Consider the following 21,714-nt stretch of genomic DNA (forward strand, 5'->3'; position numbering starts at 1 on the left):
ATAAATGATTATCATTTTGAGCTTCAACACACATTTTCTTTTTTAATTTATTTATTATTTATTATTTTTTAGAGACAGGATCTTACTATGCAGGGTCAAACAATCCTTCCACCTGGGTCTCCCAAAGTGCTGGGATTACAGGTATGAGCCACTGTGCCTGGCCCACAGCACACATTTCAGATATCCAATTAAAAAAATGATCAAGTGACAATCTCTAATAAAATGTCTGCTCTTTTATAATATGACTTGTCTGTAAAGACTTCACTAGACACTAAATTCAATTTTTCTTTTTAGATTCAAGTGTGAAGTCGAAATGTTGATAATTTATTCACAAGATAATGCCCTGTACAACTCTTATTTTTATGAAGGATAATTGGATAAATTAGCCTTAATAACCAATGAAACTCATGCTCAAGTACTGGACATGCTATTAAGTCTGTCTCCATTGGGCATCTGAATTATTCTGGCCTTCAGTTTCCATATTGGTAAGATGTCTATCATAATGATTTTATATAAAACAGTGTTAGGAATCTGATATTGACATCCAGTTTCTAAAGCCTTTCCTAAATTGTTAGGCAAACAAATGTTTAGTATTCAATTTACACAATGATATTCACTACCACTTATTAAACTGTTGCTTGTGTCGCCCCCCCCCCTTGTATTATGTCACATAATTGTGTAACTTTGTGGTGCAATCAATACTATTGATAAACAGTCAGTGCATCTTGGCTAGTCAAGATGTTGTCCGTCAAGAGTGTTTAGCTTGATAGAATTCAGCCAAGTGTAGTGAGAACATTGCACACTGTGTAGCATTGGTCACATAACTCAATAATACACAATCATAGCGATGCACAGGTGACAATAGTCTAACCAGTAGCTGCTTTTTGTTTGTTTGTTTAAGATGATTTCCTTCGATGCTCTGCATACAGCTTCAGGAAAATATAGAATGCCAGTCTAAAGTAAAACCCTTTCCAATGCATTTTTAAAAATTGTGTTAAGAAGAAATAACATGAGTTCTACCCTCTTAACAAGTTTTTAAGTGTACCATACAACATTGTTAGGTGCAAGCACAATGTTGTACCTCGGACCTCTAGAACCTTTTTTTCTTGCTTATCTGAAATTGTATACCCATTGAACAATCATTCCCCATCTTCTCCCCCTACCTCCCGGTAACCATCATTCTACTTTATGTTTCCATGAGTTTGACTGTTTTACATATGTCATGTAAGTGGACTCATGCAATACATTTTCTTGATCATTCATCCATTGATGGACATTTAGATTATTTCTATATCTTTGCTATTAAGAATAATTCTCCAATGATCATGGGAGTGAAGATACATCTCTTTTAGATCCCAATTTTAATTATTTTGAATGATTACCCAGAATAATTAACCAGAATGGAACTGCTGGATCATATGGTAGTGTTTTGTTGTTGTTGTTGTTGTTGTTACTGTTGTTGTTTTTTGTTTGTTTTGTTTTGTTTTTGTTTTGAGATGAAGTTTCGCTCTTGTTGCCCAGGCTGGAGTGCAATGGCGCGATCTCGGCTCACTGCAACCTCCGCCTCCCGAGTTCAAGTGATTCTCCTGCCTCAGCCTCCTGAGTAACTGGGATTACAGGCATGCACCGCCATGCCCAGGTAATTTTGTATTTTTAGTAGAGACAGGGTTTCACCATGTTGGTCAGGATGGTCTCGAACTCCTGACCTCCGGTGATCCGCCCGCCTCAGCTTTCCAAAGTACTGGGATTATAGGCATGAGCCACCACACCCAGCCCGTAGTGATATTTTTAATCTTTTGAGGAACTTCCATACTGTTTTCCATAGTGGCTGCACTATTTTATGTGCCCACCAAGAGTATACAAGCGTCCAATTTCTCCACAATCTCACTAACACTTTTTTTTTTTTTTATGATGGCCATCCTAACAGGTGTGAAGTGATAGCTCATTGTAGTTTTGACTCCTACTTGCCTAATGACTAGGGATGTTGAGCACCTTTTAATAGACTTGTCTGCTATTTCTGTCTTACATAGATAAATGTCTGTTTAGGTCGTTTACTCATTTTCTTAATCTGCTTATTTTTTGTTGTTGTTATTTAGTTATAGCAGTTCCCTACATATTAGTTCCCTATATATAGTTTCTATATATTTTGACTTGTAACCCCTTATGAAATACATGGTTTACAAAAATTTTCTGTCTCTGATTGTGTAGGTTACCCTTCTGTTCTGTTGATTGCTCCCTTTGTTGTACAGAAGCATTTTTAGTGCGATGGAGTACCATTTGTCTATTTTTGCTTTTGTTGCTTGTACTTTTAGGGTCGTATCCAAGAAATCATTGCCATGATCAATTTGAAGATTTTCTCCTCTGTTTCCTTCCAGGAGTTTTACAATTTCAGATTGTATATTCAAGTCTGTAATCTATTTTGAGTTGATTTTGTATCTCCTCTGCATTTTTAAAGTCACTATTTTGTTTTAAACTTTATAATCAATCTTATATGAATATGCAACAAATCTATACACATCATCCTAATTAATTATCTCTCTTGACTTTTAAAATATAATTAAAAAGTTGTTTCTAGAACTATAAATAATCTTGACTGTTTATAAAGCAGTTTCATCAGTATTTTGAATTGCCTCTTTGAAATCATATGATTACATATAAATAAGTGATATGGGCCAATATTTTTGAATGACTTAAGATATTTTCACAAAAACAGGGAAAATACCAAGACATTTGCCTAAAGCTTAGTAAGAATTCCAAACCTATAGTTTCCACGTCTTGTAATTTCTAGAACAAATTAAATACATACAAATTAAATAAATTAAATATAATAAAACATAGTCATAATAAGACAAATCATTAACTAACATTTAATGAAAAGTGATTTAATTTCTTACTTTTGTATGATTGTTCATGTGAACATATTAAGAATCAGAGGAAAGTAAAATCCCCTTTTGAGTCCTAGAAATAAGGTCACTACACTGATGGTCTATTTCCTGCAACTCTTGTCTTAGTTCGTTAGACTCTATTACTGACATGGCCAAGGCCAGCATTCAGCCCCCACATGGCGTGTGGCTCTTCTCCAGCATGCATTCAGGTCTGCCTGTTGGCTTGGAAACATTTCTAATCCTGCCCTCATTTCTGGAACAAATGAGGCACTCAGGATTCTTCATTACTTCAGGTACCTAGGTGGATTTCCCTTTTGGTCGCAAACACAACTTGACATCTTATTTTTTCCTACTTAACGTCTCCGGCATCTATCTCTTCCTTTCAGTTCCCACTGCCCCCAAATCATCATCTCACATTAGGATACACTTCATAACCAACTGGGCTCCATTCCTGGTGTCGCTACCTTTTAATGTCACTAGAAAATTCTTCCTAAAAACCTCATTTTAAGAGCCATCGGTCGCTAATCCTGTCAGAGCCCTCCACTTGATTTTCAAGGCTGTAATCTAACCATGTCTTGACCATCCAATCTGATCTCCCATTCCTTGCCAGTGTGAACTCTGCAGATCAGCCCACCTCCTCATAGCTCAGAACATGGCATGTCATGCTCAGCTCAATGACTCTGCTCCTTTCCCCACATAAGGAATTGTCTCCCTTCTCCACCACCTATGTCCGACTCCCCTCCTTTAAGTGTCCACACTGATTTATCCACTGTTGTACCTCTGATTGGAACCGAGCCTGGAACATGGTAGAGACTCAATGACTAGCCCTTCGGAGTCTGAGTGAACCCAGAGGCCACTTTGCCTGTGATGTTTATCTGAATATTCAGGTCACAGTGGCTTCTCTTTTCTCTAAAATCTTTCCATGCATATGGTCTGAATTGCACTTTTATATATCCTTTTATGTTCCTGAGTAGATCGGTCAACCAGTATTATTTCATATAGGATTTTATGCTATCATATTGTTTAATAACTACTGTGTTTAACAATAACTCGCTGGTCTATGCTTGCTTCCTTTTACATTTGAGAAACTGTCTCATGGCTTATGATTTGTACTGCAAAGTGATTTCTCCACAGGGAGGAGGCATAGCATGGTAGGTCAGCACATCCACATTAGATTCAGGTCAATGTGAGTGTGATGGATAATTTTATGTGTCAATCTAAGCTAAAATATGGCCAGGTAGCTGGTAAAACATTTCTGAGTGTGTCTGTGAGGATGTTTCCAGATGAGAGTAGCATTTTAAAAAATAGCCTGAGTAAAGAAGCTTGCTCTCATCAATGCACGTGCACCATCCAATCCATTGAGTGCCTAAATAGAACAAAAAGGCAGAGGTAGGGAAAATTTCTCTCCCTGGTACATTCATCTTCGCCTGCTGTAAATCATCAGCACTCCTGGTTCTTGTACCTTCAGACTTAAACTAAATTTCATATGTATGTGAATTTCATATATATATTTCTATTGATTCTGTTTCTCTGGAGACCCCTGACAAATACACTAAGTTTGAATTCTGTCTGAACCAAAAACTGGTTCTATGACTAACTTTTCTTTTTTCTTTCCTTTTCTTTTCTTCTTTTTTTTTTTTCTTTTGAGACAAGGTCTTACTCTGTCACCCAGCCTGGAGTTCAGTGGCGTGATCATGGCTTACTGCAATCTCTGCCTCCCGGGTTCAAGGGACCTTCCTACTTCAGCCTCCCAAGTGGCTGGGACCACAGGCATGCGCCACCACATCCAGCTAATTTTTTTTTTTTTTTTGTATTTTTGGTGGAGACAAGGTTTTTCCATGTTGGCCAGGATGGTCTTGAACTCTTGGCCTCAAGTGATTCACCTGCCTCAGCCTCCCAAAGTGCTGGGAATACAGGCGCGAGTCACTGCATCTGTCCTGTGACTGACTTTTTCAAGTCAGATCTTTATTTATGATATGAAAAAATCTATCTCCTATGGTTCACATAAAGATTAAATAAAATTATATTTACAAAAATATAGAATGTTATTTGTTATATTGCAAACATTTGAATAAGACAATGGTTACTGTTTTTGTTATTGTTAGTATTTCATTGAACTCCAGCATGGAATCACTGACTTTACTACAAATTAGTGACAACAAACTAGTAACAATGTGAGTTGTAATAATTCTTATGTGTTTTGAGACATGTCTCAATCATGTGAGAATAAAATTAGGGCATAGCAATTTCAAAATAATTTGAAATTCTAGCTCTATTGCCTTTAATGAATGTGTTTGCTCTTTTCCTGTTTTAGTTCCATTGTCCATCAAATGAAAATCAGAATACTTACATCATAGGAATCTGAGTAGTTTTGTTTGATATTGAGAACATTTTGACAATACAAAGCACTGTAACTGAGTATTAAATATTTTAATGAATTTTACCTTGTCTATTAGTCCATTCTCGTGTTGCTATAAAGAACAGCTGAGACTGGATAATTTATAAAGAAAAGAGGTTTAATTGGCTCACACTTCTGCTGGCTGTATAGGCATGGCTGGGAAGGCCTCAGAAAACTTTCAATCATGGCGGAAGGTAAAAAGGAAGCAAGCACATTTACATAGCCAGAGAAGGAAGAAGAGAGTGAAGGAGGAGGGCTGTAGACTTTTAAACAACCACTTCTTGTGAGAACTAGCTATCATGAGAACAGCAGTGGGGACATCTGCCCCCATGATCCAGTCACCCCCTACCAGGCCTCTTCTCCAACACTGGTGGTTACAATTCAACATGAGATTTGGATGGGGCCACAAATCCAAACCATATCAACTTGTATAAAGAGATAGCAGTAGCCACCAGTGTAGTCTGTTTAATACCTGAGACTTATGGCCTTCTAACTCAGGTTGTCCTGAGCTTTGGAATCAGACTGACCCACGTTTGAATCTAGGCTCTGCACCATAACTGGGGCAACTTACCTACTATGTTCTCTGTCAGTTTCCTCATCTGTAAAATTTGGGTAATAAACTGTATCCTGCAGGTTTGTTCTAAGGCTTAAGTGAGAACACGGCTGTACATATTAATGCTCAATAAATAACAATGATCTACAATCCTACATTTGTAAACAAGTTAACATGTTGAGTCAACAATGACTTATTAATCACCCGGACATGTTCATGGGTTAAATCCAGGTTGAGGCACAGTGAGAGGATTTGAAAGTCATTCAACAAATATGTATTGAAGAGTATGCATCTACCACCTGTCAGGTATTCTTCTAGGCATCCTGGTAGAGTGAACAAAACACAACCCCCTTCCTCATAGAGCTTTCATTCCAATTGATGGAATAATAGGTAAGAAATGCAAAAAAAGAACAACACATCAAAAAGATTATACATCATGAACAAGTGAGATTTATCCCTGACATTCAAGTCCAGTCTAATGTATGCAAATTAATCAATGTAGTACATGACATTAACACAATGCAAGATAAAAACCTCATGATTATCTCAATTGATGTGGAAAATGCATTTGACAAAGTTCAATGTATTTGCTTGATAAAGACTCTTAAGAGGTTAGGTATAAAAGGAAAGTTCCTCAGCATAATAAAGCCATTTATGAAAACCCCACAGCTGACAGTATCACCAGTGGGGAAAAACTGAAAACATTTCCACTAAGATCTGCTACAAAGCAAGGATGCCTGCTTTTGCCACTTCCATTCAACATTGTACTGGAAGTGCTTGCCAGGGCAATCAGATAAGGAAAAGAAACCAAAGGCACTGAAATCTGATAGGGAGAAGTAAAATGATCTCTATTCGAAGATACATGATCCCATATGTAAAAAAGCCCAAAGATTCCACAGACACCACCTTTAGAACTAATAAATAATTCAGTATGGAGGTTTCTAAGGAAATTAAAAGAGAGCTACCATAGGGCTATGCTGAGTGAAATAAGCCAGACAAGGAAAGACAAATATTGCTTTATATCATTTATTAATAGATGTGGAATATAAAAACTAAATTTCAAATATACAGAGATAGAGAACAAAACAGTGTTACCAGGGGCTAAGGAGGGGTGGTGGGGAAGAAATGGGGAGATGTAGGTCAGAGGATACAAAGTAGCGGATATGTAGGATGAACAAAGCCAGAGACTTAATGTACAACTTCAGGACTGTAGGTAATGAAATTGTATGGCATAGGAGAGTCATGCTAAGTGAGTAGATTTTAGCTGCTGTTGCCACAAAAACAATCAAAATGGTTGACTGTGAGATGATGGATATCTTCATTTGTTTCACCTTAGTAACCTTTTTAGTATCTCTATATATCCCATAATATCATGTTGTATACCTTAATTATACACAATAAATTCATTAAATAAATAAATAAACCTTTCCAGGAAATAAGAAAAAGAAAGGAATGCATACATTGATGTTACAATTTACTTCTATAGTTAAGTCATAAAAATTTGAAACTTAAAAAAAAAAAAAAACAAGGAACAGGAAATTTAACTAAAGGCCTAAAACAACAGTTGCCAAGATGTTCTAAGAAAGGAAATGGTTAATTGTCAAGTGAATGTTATAAACAAATGTCCAAGAAGTTTTAAGTCATGTAAATCATTTTATACATGCTATGTAAATAACAAACATGTTTATGAAAGTTTTTCCCAAACTCACTTTACTCTCAATTCAGTCTGTGTGCTGAGTGAGCAAGGGCTGTGCTATGTCATTTGTGCCCCCAAATGGGTGGTTCCCTAGGGTACCATGTCAGCAATGAGTATTTTGGGGATATCTAATAAACAGAATTTGCACTGTTTTATTCTGTTAGCTAATAAAAACATTCAATTTCCAAAGCTCCTAGAAGAGCAGCTTTTAGACTTTGAGATCAAGCTGAAGGTCTTTAAGGTAAAACAAAAAATTTGGCTGTTGCGCTTACTTTTATATAGAGGACTTTGATCAGATCTCATAATAAAGAGGCTGTATAGAGTCCAAGACTGCTTTGTCAACGTCAGCAGACAGGATTTCTTCTTGTCACCAAGTGAAAGCTTATGATCAAGAAAGGGGGTCTTTTTTTTTTTTTCCCCGTAGGTGTCTTTGTGAAGCTTCCTATCTTTGCTTTTCAACTAAGATGAAACAGCATTTAAAAGAAAATGCCATGTGAGATGAGATCAGGAGAATGGATTCTTTCTTTCATCTGAATAGAGAGCTGCTGTTCGAGGTAACTTTCAGCTTTTATTTTGTTTGGACACAATTGTCAAAATGTTTAACTCTTCCTTTCCAGAATTTGTCATTTGTGAAAAAAGATTGGTGACTGGCAAATAATTCTACTGATGTTAATGAACACAGATCTGATGAAGCAAACTCAGTATTATTTTGAGATAATACAATCGTGCAGAAGTAACCAACTAGACTTTTTACCTCCTTTTTACAGTGGGGAGCAGACACAAACTACATCAATTTGGTCTATTGAGCCAGAAATATGAAATATGACAAATAGCTGTGTTTTTTAAGCTTGAAACCAAATAAATTACAAACTCCCTGAAGAATTATACACTTGAGCTCTTTTAGGTAACCTCTGGATCCTCAGAACCTATTTTATGGCTTTGGAAGCTGTTAAAACAAGTCATCAAGTGTTTTTGGGTCAAGGCATATAGTTCAAAGAAAACAAAAACTATCTGGCTTGCTTGTGTAACAGTGGGAAACATAAGGGAAAAGTGTGTTGGGCTGGGCGCAGTGGCTCATGCCTGTAATCCCAGCACTTTGGGAGGCAGAGGTAGATGGATCACCTGAGGTCAGGAGTTCGAGACCAGCCTGGCCAACATGGTGAAACCCCATTTCTACTAAAAATACACAAAAATGAGCCGGGCATGGTGGCAGGCATCTGTAATCCCACCTACTCGGGAGGCTAAGGCAGGAGAATCGCTTGAACCCGGGAGGTGGAAGTTGCAGTGAGCCAATATTGTGCCACTGTACTCCAGCATGGGTGACAAGAGCAAAACTCCATCTCAAAAAAAAAAAAAGAGAAAAAAGAAAAAAAAATGTGTTGGGAAAACCATCTGTGAGTGACAGACTATAGGTGACACTTGCAGTAAGGTAGAAAAGTAGGTATCTTGAAAATAGTGTGATGTGGCAAATTTAATAATGTCCTGCTGCCTTTTGAATACATGAATGCAAGAAACAGGGATAGTTGGTGAATGATTCACAGAGTCTCTATCACAAAGGACAGGAGTGCAAATGTGTTTCCTCCTGAGCTTAGGTGAGTTCAGAGAAAAATGAAGGTGACTCGCTGGGTGAAGTATCAGGGAAGGAAGAAAATCAGGAACGTTCTATCAGAAAAAGAACATCAGGGACGTTCTGTCAGAGAAGGAAGGTCTCAAATGCAACTCACATTTTCAGATATCATTGAGGGGGGAAGAAAATTCCAAAATTTAGGGCTTTAATGGCAGAGAGCATTTTGAGCTAAAGTATATTAGCTAGTAGGTAATAGAAGGGAATTAAATGGGCAGTGTTCATCTTGGAGAAAGAGTAGGTGATGTGGTTTCGTGGCTGTGTCTGGAAAAGCAAACTTTCATGACATGGGCTACCTGAGAAAGTAGCCTTAGGTGGTGGTGACAGAAGTGTTCACTTGTACCCTTGGCCTTTTCATTTTTGACACCAGCTGTTTTCACTTTCACGCACGATTGAGTCTTTGCTGTCACACAGTTGCCGAATGTTTTCTTACTGCTCTTTCCTTTCCATTTGTCTAACATTCCAAATGCTTTATCTAATGCAAGATTTCTCAGCCTTGGCCCTATTGACATTTTGGGCCAGAAAAGTCTTTATTATGTAAGCCTGTTTTGCAAATTGTAGGATGTTTAGCAGCATCTCTGACCTCCATCTTACAATTCACCAGTAACTTTCCCCACCCAGAGGTAACTACCGAAAATTTCTCCAGACCTTGCCAAATATCGTCTGGGGGGCAAAATTGCCCTGGGTGAGAATCACCGGTCTACTTTCTACTTATTATGTAATCTGAAAAAGTTTATGCTAAAATTACATGTAATTCCCCAGAAATAATTTGCACGTGGTTGCAAATTGGAAGAAAATCTAATCTGCCCATTAATTAGCGATTGGTGAATTGTCCTGAAATAGCAACTGGTGTCACATATCAAAACTTGTAATGTTTTCTTTGTTTCAGTTTTTGAAGGATGCTTTTGTATCTTTTTGGAAATCAAAGTCTTTTTTTAATCTATCTACCTGCCGAGTTTATTGCCTTGTAAACATGTTTCTTTTGAGTTAAAATATTCTGAACCTGTAAGGCCATGTCAATCAAGCCGGATCAATAGTAGTGCACAAAAAAATGAATCAAAAAAGAGTGTAAGTTCAAAACATATTATCTATATGGGAGAAAGTCTCCTCATAAATGCCAACAATTATTGGCTTGAATTCAAAAGTGGAATAAATTTTGTCCTTGAGTACAAGAGTGATAGCAAATAACCAATTTTAATATTTTATAGAGAGAGTTATAGCCATTTCCTGAACTACCTCTGATATTATTTCTGGAACTTTTTTTAAATTCTTAAGTGCTTAATGGCTCTGGAGGCAACTATGATAGAATGGCAAGTGCACTAGGCTAGGAGGCAGATGATCAGGTCTAAGTCTCCACCCTTCTAGAGAGGGAAGTCCCCAAATCCTTATCCAGAAAATGGGAAGCATAATAATCTCACAGAGGATTATTGTACAGTTGAGGCAGTGTAGACTGAATACTGAAATGCCAATCAGTGGAAAGGCACTATGAACATGATTTAATTTCTGTTTGTTAAAAATTATTAAACCTATTAAACAATCCTTAAAGGTTGCTTTAAGGATTTTCTGTGACACAGTTTTCCCAGGCAAGCTGCTTAACCAAACCTCGGGTCCGACTTTCCTAGGGGAATACCTGTGGCCGACACAATCTGAAACAAGAGCTTTACAAATCAAATCATATTTTGTAGACATTAGGGGATACCGATATGGCAAAGAATTGTATGGCTATTTGCTTTTTTGGCAATAAATATAATTGTTCTATTTTTTCTGTTTTATGAATTTCTTGTTAGTATTGAGAATTCACGAAGGCTATGTGTAATACAAATAATTCTAAATACTACATTTTGTTTACTTAAAATAAAAATCTAAACTTCCTTTAATTCAATATCACTCTCACTCCCATCTCACCACCCAGTCAAGTATTTTGATTGAACTCACATGCACATACACACACACACACACACACACACACACACAAACACACAGACATGCACACACAGTCATATAGACACACACACAGACATACAGACACACAGACACACACATACAGATACACACACACAGACACACACATGCTGACAACTCACAGTTGATAATTCACCTCATTACAGCTCAGGAAGAGATTGTATAAAGAAAAACTGAGTGATGTAAATACATAAAATTGTTATAATATAATAAGATTTGGTGATATTACAGCAAGGAGGAAAAATATAAGTAAGATATAATTTTGGTTATGGGACTTTAAAGCAACCTTTTTCATCCTCTAAAAAGTTTCCTGATGTTAGTTAATTGGCACAAGAGAATGGAAGAAGAGATTCTTCTAGAGGATACACACCTTGTGTTTCCTATAAGATTCAGCAAAATGGAGAACAAAATATTTTCCTCAGGAATTAACTATATACAAATGATAAGGGAAGGAAATGGCATCATTTGTAGTAGGAAAATAATTAATTGTTTAAATTTTATTTTATTTTAGATTCAGAGTGTCATGTGAATGTTCGTTTCATGGATGTATTGTGTACTGGTGAGATATGGGCTTATGGTATACGCATTTCCTAAATTGTGAATATTGTTCCCAATAGGTAATTTTCAAACCTTGCCCTCCTCCCTTTTGGAGTCCCCAGTGTCTATTATTTTCATTTTTATGTCCATGTGTATCCATTGCTTCAAGTTCCCACTTATAAGCGAGAACATGCAGTATTTCACTTTCTGTTTTTGAATCAGTTCACTTAGGATCATGGCTTCCAGCTCTACCCATGTTGCTGCAAAGGACATGATTACATTCTTTTTTATGGCTGTGTAGTATTCCTCAGTGTATATATACACCACATTTCTTTTATCCAGTTAACCATTGATGGCTATTTAGGTTGGTTCTGTGACTCTTTTCTTGTGAATAGTGCTGTAGTGAACATACATGTACAGGTATCTTTTTTTTTTGAGATGGAGTCTCTCTCTGTCTTCATGCTGGAGTGCAGGGACACCATCTTGGCTCAGTGCAACCTTTGACTCCCTGGTTCAAGCAATTCTCCTGTCTCAGCCTCCGGAGCAGCCGGGATTACAGGCACGCAGCACCATGCCCAGCTAATTTTTGTATTTTTAGTAGAGACAGGGTTTAACCATGTTGGCCAGGATGGTCTCAATATCCTGACCACGTGATCCACCCTCCTTGGTCTCCCAATGGCATCTTTTTAATGTAATGATTTATTTTCCTTTCCGTAGACACCCAGTAGTGGGAGTGCTGGGTGGAATGGTAGTTCTATTTTTATTTCCTTGAGAAATCTCCATACTATTTTCAATAGAGGTTGAACTAATTTACATTCCTGAAAACAGTGTATAAGGATTTTCTTTTCTCTGCATCCAGGCCAACAATAACAGCCATTCTGACTGGTATAAGATGGTTCATTTTTTTTTCTGGTGTTATGTGATAAACAGGTTATTTTACAACACAGTTTAGATTAGCTTATCAATGATAGAGCCGACTTTGTGATAGCCATTAATACACACAGTCAAGAACTTAAATACCAATTTAAACCAAGAACCCTAAATGGGTATATTAAAGTTTTGTAAAAAGCATTGCGCAGTTTTGACATAAGAATTGTTCAAGTGGTAATACAGCTAAAACACTCATGTTACTTTAAACATAATAACTTAATCTTTTAGGAAGTATACTTTCAAATGCTGCATAGAACACATCAGGATTTTACCTCTTTTTAAAAGTCTGATCTAATTGGACAGGAGCACAGAGAGTTTATCTTTTTCTGAAGTATGTTGCTGAAAGTAGGAGGAGGGGAAGGAAAAGGAGAAGGAGCTAGGAGATGTTTTCTCTAGAATGTGGTCCCTTTATTACCGTATGTTGTAGTTGAACTTTCCAGGGTAAACCTAGTGTTACAGATGAACTCACTAATAGATGTCAAATGCCTTCTTGGTATAATATATTATTTCCTATCTCCATAGTATTGAGGATGAAATACTACAGATTGAAATGCTCTGGAATGCAGTTTTAAAACTTTCATCTGAACATCGTTACATCTATGCCCAGGAATTTCCAAATTCTAAACCAAATGATACAGCTAGAGTTTGAAGACAATTTGAGAGCTGGTGAAGATGACAGTTACTTCTTTCTGTTTCTTGCTCTTTGTATAATGGAAATGAATGTTACTTTTAATGAGTCAGTTGCAAGAAATTAAGATATCTGCTAGACTGGTTCTTTCTTTCTTTCTCCCTCTCTCCATCCCTCTCTTCTTCTCTTCCCCTTTCCCTCCCTCCCTCTCTTTTTCTTTGCTTTCTTCCTTTCTTCCTTCTTTCCTCCCTCCATTTCTCCCTCCTTCTCTTCCTCTCTTTCTCCTCTTTGCCTCTACTTCTCTTCCTTCCTTCCATCTGTCTGTCCTTCCTTGCTTTTGTTCATTGCAAGGAACTGACACACAAGGAATACATACAGTGGAGGTCCTACCATGACCAGACACTGTACTAGGCAAGTGAGCTAGAGAAGGGGACAAGATAAATAAGACCCTGCCCAAATGAAGAATCCAGTCAGGCAAATAAGCTATGGAAAGATATGAGGGAAATGTTGGGGTAATAAAAGATCTCATAGGAGAAATATGTAGTCCAGGCTCCCATGAGCTCTCTCTCTCTCTTCCAACCTTCAGCCCCCTTCTTGCTCTTTGGGGATTTCTAGGGAGATGTATGCCTTATATGCAAAATGAAGTACCAGAAGATAAAAAAGTCAAATAGAAATTAAGATTGTATAGATTATTCTGCAGAGTTGATCATTCACTTTCGTGTGAAAAATTGGTTATATATGTTCTTACTTTTCTCACTGTAATACTTTTACAAGAAACTTCTCAGCACTTCGCTTTCTTTGTCTGCAAAAATGACACAGAGATTTTTTAAAAGGTGGGGTTTCCCACCTTTTCAAGCAAATGGTGCATTTCCCAGCTGGCTCTTGTTACAGTGGATGCAAATGCAAACATATTCTTGATTGAGATCTGTGAAATCTCCAGAAAGTTCTTAATATTGATTTACATCCTCCCTTGCAGAAATAATTAATATTGATTACTGAGAGGCACTTAGCTTGATAATAATTGCACCCAGTTCACAACAAAAGCAAGTCAATTGTGGTGCTTAGGAATTTTTAATAGTGATTTTTGTCTTTTATTATTTTATTTTTCATGTCTAAATGAGAATTGACCTTGCATAAAATCTGTTTAGCAAATTCAAATTAGACAAAGCAAAAATATTTATATGGGTGGGTAGGCTTGAAAGTAGCTGAAACGTCTAAAAATAATGTGGGAATAATTGGCATAATAGGGCAAATCATCAATTATGACGCATGCTTCAAAACTGATTTGAACGTGGTACCTCAGTATGTGACTTAAGTGATACAGTAAATAATGTTAAATAAAGAAATACCATGACTTATGCAAATCTAATATGTGGATATTTGAATTAATCAAGGAAATGTAAGAATCCTCTTAATTTAAAGAAAAAATAATTTATCCTGTACCACCCACAGTTAACCTAAATTGTCATGTATTCCACTTAAGAAAAACTTCTTCATACCTGTCAAACATATTATAAAATGGCAAACAAGAATTAAATAACTTTTGGATTATTCTGCACAGTTGATCATTTCTGGGTAAGAAAAAAAATTGGCAAAACTTTATTTGTGAAGCAACCTAAATGCCTAGTGATAGAATATGATTAAAGTTTTAAAAATTGGCCAGGTGCGGTGGCTCACGCCTGTAATCCCAGCACTTTGGGAAGCCGAGGTGGGCGGATCACGAGGTCAGGAGATCAACACCATCCCGGCTAACACGGCGAAACCCCATCTCTACTAAAAAAATACAAAAAAAATCAGCCGGGCGTGGTGGAGGATGCCCGTAGTCCCAGCTGCTCGGGAGGCTGGGGCAGGAGAATGGCGTGAACCCGGGAGGCGGAGCTTGCAGTGAGGCGAGATCGCGCCACCGCACTCCAGCCCGGGCGACAGAGCGAGACTCCGTCTCAAAAAAAAAAAAAAAAAAGTTTTAAAAATGTTCAGAGTCCATAGGCCTGGAAAATTATGCTATCCCACAATAAACTGGTAAATACATTAATGGCAGACTACTGGTTTTTTTCCTATTTGAGTAGCATGTATTCTTAACACAAATAGACTTGTATCCTGAAGCAGCAATAAAATTTAAACGAGTCAGGCACTGATAAAGTAATAGGCAATGTCTAAATATCATTATTGTTATTAGAGCAAAAAAAAAAGATGTCAGTATTTCTCCAGGGTAAATGTTTTCCATTAAACATTTAATGGAAAGAAATGTTAATCATTTCTTATTCCCTTGCACCCACCTTTAATTAATTGATACGCTACATTTTTTCACGCATGTCTTTCATACTTTTGAAGCATTTTCTTTGTCAAAATTAGAGTTAAAATTCTAAAAAAAAATTCTTGTCAAAGAAGTGGACTTTGCTTAATATTGCTTTATTATACGAGGTACAAATCCATTTTGGCTAAGGCATATGAGCAACCTATAATAATAGAACACATTAGGGCACTTTTCAGATAGATTTATACAACTATATGAAAATTTTGAAATAATAGAACACCTAGAAGAAAATTTTGGAAACTTTCATCTAATCTCACAAAGAGATCATAAAAGTGAGTAGAGATCTCTTAATAAAAATTTCAATACGTTTTCTTATATATATTTCAAAGTAACAGATTTCTAAACACAATATATACATAAATAAAATTGTGAAGAAAGCCAAAAAAATGAAGAAAGTATTTTCAAGTCCTAAAAAGCAAAGCGTTTTTAAAAATTTTTTATTTTAAATTCAGGGATACATATGCAGGTTTGTTACATAGGTAAATGTGTATCATGGGGGTTGGTATACAGATTATTTCATCACCAGGTATTAAGCCTAGAATCCATTAGTTATATTTTCTGATCCTCTCCCTCCTCCCATTCTCCACCCTCAAATAGGCCCAGTGTGTGTTGTTTCCCTCTATGTGTCCATTTGTTCTCATCATTTAGCTCCTGCTTATGTGTAAGAACATGTGGTATTTGGTTTTCTGGTTCCTGTGTTAGTTTGCTAAGGATAATGGCCTCCAGCTTCATCCATGTCCCTGCAAAGGGCATGATCCTGTTCATTTTTATGGATGCATAGTATTAAATGGTGTATATGTACCACATTTTCTTTATCCAGTCTATCATTGATGGGCATTTAGGTTGTTTCCATGTTTTTGTTATTGTGAATAACATTGCAATGAACATGTGCATGGATGTGTCTGTATGATGGAATGATTTGTATTCCTTTGGGTATATACCCAGTAATGGGATTGCTGGTCGAATGGCATTTTTGTCTTTAGGTATTTGAGGAACTGCCACACTGTCTTCCACAGTGGTTGAACTAATTTACACTCCCACTAACAGTGTATAAGCATTCCTTTTTCTCCACAATCTTGCGAGCATCTCTTATTTTTTGACTTTTTAATAATAGCCATTCTGACTGGTGTGAAATGGCATCTCATTGTGATTTTGATTTGGATTTTTCTAATGATCAGTGAGGTTGAGCTTTTTAGCATATAACTGTTGGCCGCATGTATGTCTTCTTTTGAAAAATATCTGTTTGTGTGCTTTGCCCACTTTTTTATGGGGTTGTTTGTTTGTTCCTTATAAATTTGTTTAAGTTCCTTACAGATGCTGGATATTAGATCTTTGTTGAATGCATAGTTTGCAAAAATTTTCTCCCAGTCTGTAGTTTGTTTACTCTGTTGATAGTTTCTTTTGCTGTGCAGAAGCTGTTTAGTTTAATTAGATCCCATTTGTCAATTTTTGCTTTTGTTGTAATTGCTTTTGGCATCTTTGGCATCTTTGTCATGAAATCTTTCCCATGCCTGTGTCCTCTTCCAGGGCTGCCTGGGACCAGGACTGCCTAGGTCGTCTTCCAGGGTTTTTATAGTTTTAGGTTTCACATGTAGGTGTTTAACATAATTTTAGTTAATTTTTGTCTATGGTATAAGAAAGGGGTCCAATTTTAATCTTCTGCATACGGCTAGTCAGTTATCCTAGCACCATTTATTATCAAAGATCAGATAGTTGTAGGTGTGCAGTCTTATTTCTGGGCTCTCTATTCCGTTCCATTGGTCTATGTATATCTGGTTTTGTACCAGTACCAAGCTGTTTTGTTTACTGTAGCCCTGTAGTGTAGTTTAAAGTCAGGTAGCATGATGTCTCCAGCTTTGTTCTTTTAGAGCAAAATTTAAAAAAAAAATTAAAGCCCAAATCTAATCACAATGAGAAAAGAACACATATCTTTTGTGAAATAAAATATGTAAATGTGCAATAAACAAGAAAGATTCAACACTAGTAATAAAACATTTGCAAAACAATATAATTTTTTAATTGCAGATCAAACCATAGAGTCTTATATGATAGCAACAAGTGGCATGTGAGTAAAAGGAAATACAAATCTTTGTATGCCCACCTTTCTGGAAGGAATATATGTTTAAAGTTTAAAATAGTTTACATCGGTTGATTCAGTAGTTCCAATTCTAGACTGTATGTGACATATATGTTAAAACATTGATATGACTTGGATCTGTGTCCCCACCCAAATCTCATGTAGAATTATAATCCTTAGTGTTGGAGGTGGAGCCTGGTGGGAGGTGACTGGATTGTGGGGGTGGTTTTTCCAGAATGGTTTCTCACCATCCCCTGTTGGTACTGTATAGTGAGTGAGTTCTTATGAGATACGGTTGTTTAAAAGTGTGTAGCACCTCCCCGTTCTCTCTCTTTTTCCTGCTTCTGCCATGTAAGATACCTGCTCCCACTTTGCCTTCTGCAATGAGTAAAAGCTCCCTGAGGCCTCCCCAGAAGCAGATACTGTCATGCTTCTTGTACAGAATTGTGAGCCAATTAAACCTTTTTTCTTTATAAATTACCTAGCCTCAGATATTTTTTATAGTAATGTGAGAATGGACTAATACAAACATAGACAAACATTTCATTATTACCTCATTTATAGTATAGAGAAATTAGAAATAGACTAAATACCCAACCTTAGAACCCAATTAAATGAAGTATCATTAATTAAATGGGATGTAGAGAAAATGCTCATAATAAAAAGTTAAATAGGAAAACAATATACAAAAATAATCTTTTAGTAGATAAACTGTGTAAAATTGTATATTTTTAATTTATATTTTAATGGTACAATTAAGGATGATTTTTAATTTATTCTTTATGCCATGTGATTATTTTCTATGTCTCTAAATATCTATTGCTGTAATAGTCAGCCATTAATAATCAATGTTATTTCAAGAGAGAAATCCAGAAAGAAGAAGCTATTTCAACACAGGTTTAGTATTTCAAAAGTTGGATTCATGGTATAATTTCAGGTCTTTTTAATTTAACATGTTTCTAACCTCTGCAAATCATTGCTATCAGAGTAATTGCATATTTACCCCAAACAGAGCAATAAACGCGTTCAAGTTCATAAGGCAGCTGTGTAGACATGAAACTCCATAATATTGTAATAATCAGGTTAGCTGGAGTTGATCTTATCAACCATCTACACATAAACGAGTCTCACAGTAATATTCTCATGCACATGATATATTGTATAAAAACTATTGTGATGTGTTGCTATGGTACCTGGGAGATCCTTATAGATTCGAGTTCCATACTCTGGCTCGTTTGGGCATGTTTTAGGCATTCACAAATGAAAGGAGGGAGAGTTTCTGTGCACACCCACAAGGTTTCTGGAGTCCTCCCTCCAGTTGGATAGATAGCAAATAAATTTTCAAAGTATCCCTGTTTAAACATGGTCATATATTTATGCTGCATGGATACGGGATCCAACTTTCACAGTGCAGAAGTTTAAAAATATTAAACACCAAGGAAAAACATATTTAAAAGAAAAGAAAAAGGAAGAAATAAAATGAAAAGAAACACAACTACAATTCTCACCTCCTGTATTTTCACTTGTTCACAACAATAAAACACCAATAAAACAGTTTCTCTGTCATTTGGCATTAGTGTCTACTTAGTGATCAGAGATCTTAGACAGCCCTACAGCAGTGAGTGATGGGTGGGGAGAGAGACAGATAGATTTCACTGTAAAGCTGGAACAAAGACTAGCTCCAGAATTCAAAGGTTGAATTCCTGTTCTGGTTAGAGATAAAAGAACAGATTCTTGAGTAGCTATTCTCACTTGAAAAAAGCCAGTGACTTTTCTGTGTATTTTTTTTATCTAAGAAGAAGAGCTAAAATATTTGTCTATTTGTCACCAATCAATTGTACAGGACTGCCTCTAATAATCTATTAAGTTTTTAAGGATTTCACCTATTTTGGACCAACAAGATAAAACGTTTTATTGGTCTTCTCTGGGTTTATCAGTTTCTTCTTTTACAGTGTTTTTCATCACTAGACCAGTGGATTACAAAATTATCAGTTTTGCAAATTTGGCTGGGATTTTGACATAGATTCCAACATACGGCTTATACTATGACAATAGGCAAAATAGAGAGAGGTTACCAAATGTATGAAAAGTATGACACTGATTGTTCTTTGCCATACATTAATTCTCTCTCCCTCTCTCTCCCCCTCCTCTTCCTCCCTCTCCCTCTTGACTCCACCAACCCGCACTAATGACCACATCTCGAATTTTGTCATTGTGTAAAAATATGTCCATGCTATCAATGCAAAGTCTGAAATTCTCACATCTGACCATGAACCATCATCTCTCTGACTTTCCCAATCCCTCACATTGACTGAAGTTTCCTCGGGTATTCTTTCAACTCTCTTGGTTACCCCCCTCTCCTGAGTGATGCTATTTCTTCCTCTCTAAGCTGGATATTGTGATCAATTGTGTCAGTATTCTCTCTGTTCCCTGACTCCCTTTAAATGTGCCCAGAGAAGGAAGGAAGTGATTGGCAGCTGAGGATTTTGGAAAGTTGTAAAAACAATGCTGAGAACAGGCATGGAAGTTGAGTGATATGGTTTGGTTCAGTGTCCCCACCCAAATCTGATTTCAAATTGTAATCCCCAATGTTTGGGGAGGGACCAGATGGGAAGTGATTGGATGATGAGGATGGATTTCCCCCTTGCTGTTCTGGTGATAGGGTGATAGCGAGTGAATTCTCACAAGATCTAGTTTTTGAAAGTGTGTAGCATCTCCCCCTTTGCTCTCTGTCTTCCTCCGGTTCTGACCATGGGAAGATGTGTCTCTTTCCTCTTTGTCTTCTGCCATGATTGTAAGTTTTAAGAGGTCTTCCCAGCCATGCTTCCTGTACAGCCTGTAAAACCATGAGCCAATTAAACCTCTTTTCTTTATAAATTACCCAGTCTCAGGTATTTATTTATAGCAGAGAAAGGACTAATACACTGAGATTGAAGAGTAACCTGACGAATGAGTTCGGGTTAGAGGCTGAGATTCAGGCAGAACATGCCAGAACATTATTGTTTTGGTAATTCTTATTCTTTTGGCTGCCTGCCTGTGGATGTTAGGAATTGAGTGGTTAAAGACTCAGACAACCACTGACTATCCAGAAGAAAACTCATTACTCAGCTTGGTTTTCCCACAATTCCAAGCTCCCTATGTTCAGGCAACCTGCTGGCCTTTTCTGGCCATCTTGTTATTCACATATGTTTACACCCTCTTGAATGTTTCCTCCCAGAGCTCTTTAAAATATAGTCTGGTTCACTACAGCCCCTGCTTTCCTTGTTACAGACATTGTTACTTCTCACTTCAATGAGAAGATAAAAGCCATTTGAGAGAAACTGCTCTATTTTATTCCTCATCAACCCCTGTGTCTCTGAAGAACAGCACCAGTAAGCCCCTGATCTCCCCTCCATCCCTTCTCTTTTGGAGGATATTTCTTCATCTACTTTTGTATACAATCACAACATTTCCCTTTCTAATGGAAACTTTCTCACCACTAGACAAAGGGTTAGTTTCCCCATCCCCTATGTTTACATATCCATGCTACTCTTTTTTTTTCTTCAGGTTTACTTTATCCGTCTCGTTTTCTTCAACATGAAACTTAAGAGTAGATTCTACTCACTGCTTCTTTCCCTTCTTCATCTTGTATTTAACACAAAGCCACTATCATCAGGCTTTCAACACTACCCTCTACCTCCGCAGTCTCCTATGACTCAGATGACATAGCCCATTTATACCTGTTGTCCCAGTGTATTTATTACTAACACCTTAGAGCTGTCCTGATTTGGGCAATAAATTATATGGTCCCTCTACCAACCTTACACTTTCGTGGAAATGGTGAGGTACTAAGAAATTTTGAACATGTAATTAAATGTATAATAAATGCAGAGTTACAAACTCTAATAAGCACTATGACAGGGCAATACCTGGTGCTGTTGCTGTCATAGCACAGAGCAGGGGGAGATGGCATTGTTGAGAGCAGAGTTTCTCAACTTCAGCACAAATGAATATTTGAGGCTGTGTCATTCATTACTGTGGGGGTTGTAGTGTCCATTGTAGAATGTTTAGCAGCACCCCTGGCCATACTAGTAGGTGCTGGTTGGGTGTCTGACTCCCCTTCCTAATGAT

General features: G+C 37.0%; 1 long non-coding RNA gene across 6 annotated transcripts in view; it reads left to right on the forward strand.

Moving 5' to 3' along the window:
• LOC105374914 (uncharacterized) overlaps nt 1-21,714 on the forward strand; it is a 91,755-nt gene that overhangs the window by 24,301 nt on the left and 45,740 nt on the right. For 5 of the 6 annotated variants that reach the window (XR_001743953.1, XR_001743952.1, XR_001743951.1 and 2 more), the window contains one exon: nt 7,957-8,086. This is a non-coding gene — a long non-coding RNA (uncharacterized LOC105374914). Of the gene's footprint in view, nt 1-7,956; nt 8,087-11,629; nt 12,111-21,714 lie in introns of those variants that run through there. The other variant, XR_001743955.1, reaches the window with a different exon arrangement.

This window comes from Homo sapiens, chromosome 6, assembly GCF_000001405.40.
Source record: "Homo sapiens chromosome 6, GRCh38.p14 Primary Assembly".
In the NCBI taxonomy this organism is placed as follows: domain Eukaryota; kingdom Metazoa; phylum Chordata; class Mammalia; order Primates; family Hominidae; genus Homo; species Homo sapiens.